Here is a 6,000-nt window from a genome sequence, read left to right on the forward strand (position 1 = left end):
CCCCCTCCTTGCTTCCTTCCTTCCTTCTGTCCTCCTTTCCTTCCTTCCTTCCTTCCTCCCGTCCTTCCTTCCTTCCTCCTGTCTGTCCTTCCTTCCTCCTGTCTGTCCTTCCTTCCTTCCTTCCTTTCTTCCTTCCTTCCTCCCTCCGTCCCATCCGTCCTTCCTTCCTTCCTTCTATCCGTCCTTCCCTCCATCCTTCCTTCCGTCCGTGCTTCCTTCCTTCCGTCCTTCTGTCCTTCCTTCCTTCTTTCCCTCCCTCCCTTCCTTCCTTTGCAGCTGCTGGGAAAATTGAGATACTGAGGAGCCAAATCCTGTGTGCAGGCAGCACCAGACTCCATTCCCAGATCCCCAAGACTTGGGTTTTATTTGTTTAAAGCTGTGCAATATTTCAATGGAGAACTTCTTGTTGTGTACTAAGCATTTAGACCAGCTGTTGTAATCAGTATCTGTAGTTTGTTTCCTTTAGGGATTTCAGTTATAAAATATGATACACATTTGCTTTAATATCAAAATTGACAGTTTTGTCTCAATGGACTAGGGACTTAAAAAAAAACAAATACTAAGTTATACTATAATCAACCCTCCACCTTTTTCAGTGGTTATTTTGAAAGATGATTGTTGGTACCAAGCTACTGTTTCCCCATATCTCAGTAAGGCCCCTAGCACAGAGAGAACCTCCTTCTGGGCACCTCCTTGCCATCACATTTCCTTTTCTTCTGAGAATTTTGGCATGGCCATGTAAACACATGTGGTGGTGAGATATAATTTAGTCAAAATTGAGGAAGCTTATAGGATCTAGGTATTATTAAACATATTTTTATTCAGTGCTTACAAAGTGCTAGGCACTGTATTTAGCACTGAGATTTATCAGTGAAAAAAACAGACAAAATTCCTGCCCTCAAGGAGCTTATATCTTAGTGAAGAGGGACAATGAATGAACAAATGAATGAATAAATGAATGAATGAACGAATGTGATACAAGCAAGGGCCAAAGGCCTGCTGTTGCAGCATTCAGTTTTTCCTTGAGGAAACCAGAGAGCCCTGGAGTCTTTCAGAAAGCCTCTAAAACTGTTATTCTGCCTCAGACTCTTGAAAGGTGCCGTTTGGGGTCAGAGAGATGGCAGAATAGTGTTTGCCTTTGAAGTTACCCCTCCTGTCATCCCTCAAGACTCAGACTGAGTGGTTTGGGAACTTTGGCAACATCCTGATGATCTAAGGACCCTTAGAAAAGGCGGGCTGGCTTCTCCCAGCCCTCCCTTCCTCTCACCCTGCTGCTTTAGGCCTGTGAGCTGTATAACTCACACTAATGTAACATACAGGTGACAGCAGAGGGAAGGATGGAAGGAGCCCTGGATGGAACCAGAACTCCCAGCTTTGTACTTTCGTAGATACGACTTCAGGCAGCTTGTTTACCTTCTCTGAATCTCTTTCCTTACTAGAAAACAGGCTACTAAATCCACCTTGAGGATCACTGTAAAGCTTACAGTAGCTGATACGTGGAAAAACACGTTGCAAATCTAATGCACATTTAAATGCAATTGATTTAACGTTATTTTGATTATGAGCTAAAAAATATAGTGATGGAGGTGAGTCAGTTGGGAAATTTGTCATGTGATTTCTTTGGGATTCTTTCTTTGGCTATGTAAATTTCCATTACAATATTAGATACTGAAGCTGTTTTCAAGTGGGGTTTTAAATCAGTCATTAAAGAAGCATGTAAAGTACCTGACGCTAGTATGAGACTTTCTATGTTTAAGTCTTAACCTCCTCTGTCGTAGCAGAGGGATCCGGGGATTTTACTTAATATTAAGGTTTCAGTGAGTGCTTGCCAGTTTTTGGTTGCTGAAAGGAGGGGATGAAGGCTCCCAGGGTGTCGTGGGGCTCAGGTTGAGGTGGGATGAGCAGATGACAGAAGTGTTCAGGTGCAGGAGCACTGGGAGAAAGACTGCCTCAGTCAGTATGGACAGTGGCCTTTTTTTACAAGGCTGAACCTCTCTGATATCTTGCATTAAATTCCATTTTGTGAAATTTAAAAGAAAAGCCACTTCCTGCAGTTCTAAACTGCACACACAAGGTATATGACGTTGTAACTTAATAGTAAACTTAATTTTCAGTGATTATTTGCCTGTTAACACAATTCTACTATCATTTTATAGGCAGCCTTGTTGGATCACATTAAAAATATTTAATCTCTAAAAACTTCAAATTTATGGCAAGGTATTTGCATATATAGGATAATACCTTTTGAAATTTGATAATTAGAAAATCTTTACTGCTACAGAGATGAACATAAGGAGGAAAGATAAAGCAATTGGCAGAGCATGGACCTAAACTAACATTAGGAAACACTATCTGTACTTAGATAGTATGTCTTTCATGTGTGTAGACATATTATGCTTAAAAATATATGCCATATTCTCATCATTGGAAACACTGGTTATTTTACCAAGGCCTTAACTGGAATAATATATTATTTTCAAAATTGTCTTAAGAAAATGAGGCTGACTTATAGAGCCAATAAAATCCCCTTGGAAAAACTGGCCCCATACTTTGTCCTTTATAGAATCCTAACTTGTGGTAAGTAAAGAACGTCATGGACAGGCCTAGGAACCCCAAGTTTTTTTTTGGGACCTTGAAAAGAGGAATACACCCAGTTCACACAGGTATCTGCAGGCACAGATAAATCCTTGGCTGGGCTTGAAGCTTTTATGAAGGTCTAATCTTGGATTCCTTATGAAAAAGTTTCCAGCAAAGCCAATTTTTTTTTTAAAGAGCATATATGGCAAATGATTATTCTTGTTGCATTTATGCAATAATCAAGCCAAGTATAATAGGATTAAACTAAAACTTTTCTTTTTTAATTGTTTCTTCTTCTTCTTACTCTTCCTCTTCCTCTTCTTCCTCTTCTTTTACTTTTTTAATAGAGATGGGGTTTTGCCTGGAACTCACTCATGTGATCCAGCCACCTCAGCTTCCCAAAGTGCTGGGATTAAAGGTGTGAACCACTGTGCCCAGCCCTAGGACTAAAACTTATTCTACAAACAAATTGGTCCTACTATGATTTTTAATAAAATTTTAATAAAATTGGAGAATTGGAGAGAGAAAAATAATGTTTCAAAATAAACTATAATACATCTGTTATTAGAGTCTAGCCTTGTATAATGTTTTTCAATTTTTATTATTTTCCTCTTTTTGTTTTATTTAACTTTGTTTTATATGCAGGTTTGCTACATAGATAAACTTGTTTATCTAAGTGCAGGTTTGCTACATGTGCAGGTTTGCTACACGTGCAGGTTTGCTACATAGATAAACTTCTGTCACGGGGGTTTGTTGTACAGATTATTTTGTCACTTGGGTATTAAGCCTAGTACCCATAAGTTATTTTTCCTGATGCTCTCTTCCTCCCATCATCCACCCTCAAGAGGCCCCAGTGTGTGTTGCTTCCCTCTATGTGTCCATGTGTTTTCATCATTTAGCTCCCACTTATAAGTGAGAACATGTGGTATTTGGTTTTCTGTACCCGCATTGGTTTGCTAAGGATAACGGCCTCCAGCTCCAACCATGTTCCTGCAAAGGACATAATCTCATTCTTTTTTATGGCTGTGCAGTATTCTATGGTGCACATGTACCACATTTTCTTTATCCAGTCTACCAGTGATGAGCATTTAGGTTCATTTCATTGATGAGCATTAGTTAGATTGCTATTGTGAATAGTGCTGCAATGAACATACATACGCATGTGTCTTTATAAAATAATGATTTATATTCCTTTAGGTATATACCCAGTACTGGGATTGCTGGGTTGAATGGTATTTCTGTTTTTAGGTCTTTGAGGAATCATCACACTGCTTTTTACAATGGTTGAACTAACTTACACTCTCACCAACAGTGTATAAGTGTTCCCTTTTCTCTGCAACCTCTCCAGCATCTGCTATTTTTTGACTTGTTAATAATAGCCATTCTGACTGGTGTAAGATGGTATCTCATTGTGGTTTTGATTTGCATTTCTCCAGTGATCAGTGATGTTGAGCTTTTTGTCATATGCTTGTTGACTGCATGTATGTCTTCTTTTGAAAAGCGTATGTTCATGTCCTTTGCCCATTTTTTAATGGAGTTGTTTTATTCTTGTATATTTGTATAAATTCCTTATAGATGCTGGATATTAGACCTTTGTCAGATGCACAGTTTGCAAAAAGTTTCCCCCATTCTGTAGGTTGTCTGTTCACTCTGTTGATAGTTTCTTTTGCTGTGCAGAAGCTCTTTAGTTTAATTAAATCCCATCTGTCAATTCTTGCTTTTGTAGCAATTGCTTTTGGTGTCTTCACCATGAAATCTTTGTCTGTTCCTATGTCCAAAATGGTATTGTCTATGTATCTTCCAGAGTTTTTATAATTTGGGGTTTTTACATTTAAGTCTTTAATCCATCTTCAGTTAATTTTTGTATATGGTGTAAGGAAGGGATCCATTTTCAATCTTCTGCATATGGCTAGCCAGTTATCCCAGCACCATTTATTGAATAGGGAATCCTTTCCTTATTGCTCTTTTTTGTCAGGTTTGTCAAAGATCAGATAGTTGTAGGTGTGTGGCATTATTTCTGGGCTGTTTTGTACCAGTACCATGCTGTTTTGTTTACTGTAGCCCTGTAGTATATTTTGAAGTCAGGTGGTGTGATGCTGCCAGCTTTGTTCTTTTTGCTTAGGATTGCCTTGGCTATTTGGGCTCTTTTTTGGTTCCCTGTGAATTTTAAAATAGTTTTTTCTAGTTCCATGAAGAACGTCAATGGTAGTTTAATAAAAATAGCATTGAATCTATAAATTGTTTTAGGTAGTATAGCCATTTTAACAATATTGATTCTTCCTATCCATGAGCATGGAATGTTTTTGCATTTGTTTTTGTCATCTCAGATTTCTCTGAGTGGCATTTTGTAGCTCTCCTTGTAGAGATCTTTTACCTCTCTGGTTAGCTGCATTCCGTGTGTGTGTGTGTGTGTGTGTGTGTGTGTGTGTGTGTGTGTGTGAATTGTGAATAGGACTGCATTCTTGATTTGGCTCTTGGCTTGACTGTTACTGGTGTATAGGAGTGTTAGTGATTTTTTTTTTTTTTCCTTTTTTGAGACAGAGTTTGGCTCTTGCTGCCCAGGCTGGAGTGCAATGGCACAATCTTGGCTCACTGCAACCTCTGCATCCCGGTTTCAAGTGATTCTTCTACTTCAGCCTCCCGAATAGCTGGGATTACAGGCATGCGCCACCATGCCCAACTAATTTTTGAATTTTTAGTAGAGACAGGGTTTCACCATGTTGGCCAGGATGGTTTCAGTCTCTTGGCCTCGTGATCCGCCTGCCTTGGCCTCCCAAAGTGCTGGGATTACAGGCATGAGCACCGTGCCCGGCCTAGAGTGCTAGTGATTTTTGAATATTGATTTTGTATCCTGAGACTTTGCTGAAGTTGTTTATCAGCTTAAAGAGCTTTTGGGCTGAAACTATGGGGTTTTCTAGATTTAGGATCATGTCACCTAGAAACAGGGATAGTTTGACTTCCTCTTTTCCTATTTAAATGCCCTCTTTTTCTTTCTCTTGCCTGATTGCCCTTGCCAGGATATCCAACACTACGTTGAACAGGAGTGGAGAGAGAGGGCATTCTTGTCTTCTGCCAAGTTTCAAGGGGAAGGCTTCCAGCTTTTGCCTATTCAGTATGATGTTTGCTGTGTGTTTGTCATACATGGCTCTTATTATTTTGTGGTATGTTCCTTCAGTACCTAGTTTACTGAGTTTTTAATATGAAGCGGTGTTAAATTTTATCAAAAGCCTTTTCTGCATCTATTGAGATAATCATATGGTTTCTATCTTTAGTTCTCTTTATGTGATAAATCACAATTATTGATTTGCATGTGTTGAACCAACCTTGCATCCCAGGGATAAACTTGATTGTGGTAGATAAGAGTTTTGATGTGCTGCTGGATTCGGTTGGCCAGTATTTGTTGAGGATTTTTGCATCAATGTT

Source organism: Homo sapiens, chromosome 3 (genome assembly GCF_000001405.40).
Source record: "Homo sapiens chromosome 3, GRCh38.p14 Primary Assembly".
In the NCBI taxonomy this organism is placed as follows: Eukaryota; Metazoa; Chordata; class Mammalia; order Primates; family Hominidae; genus Homo; species Homo sapiens.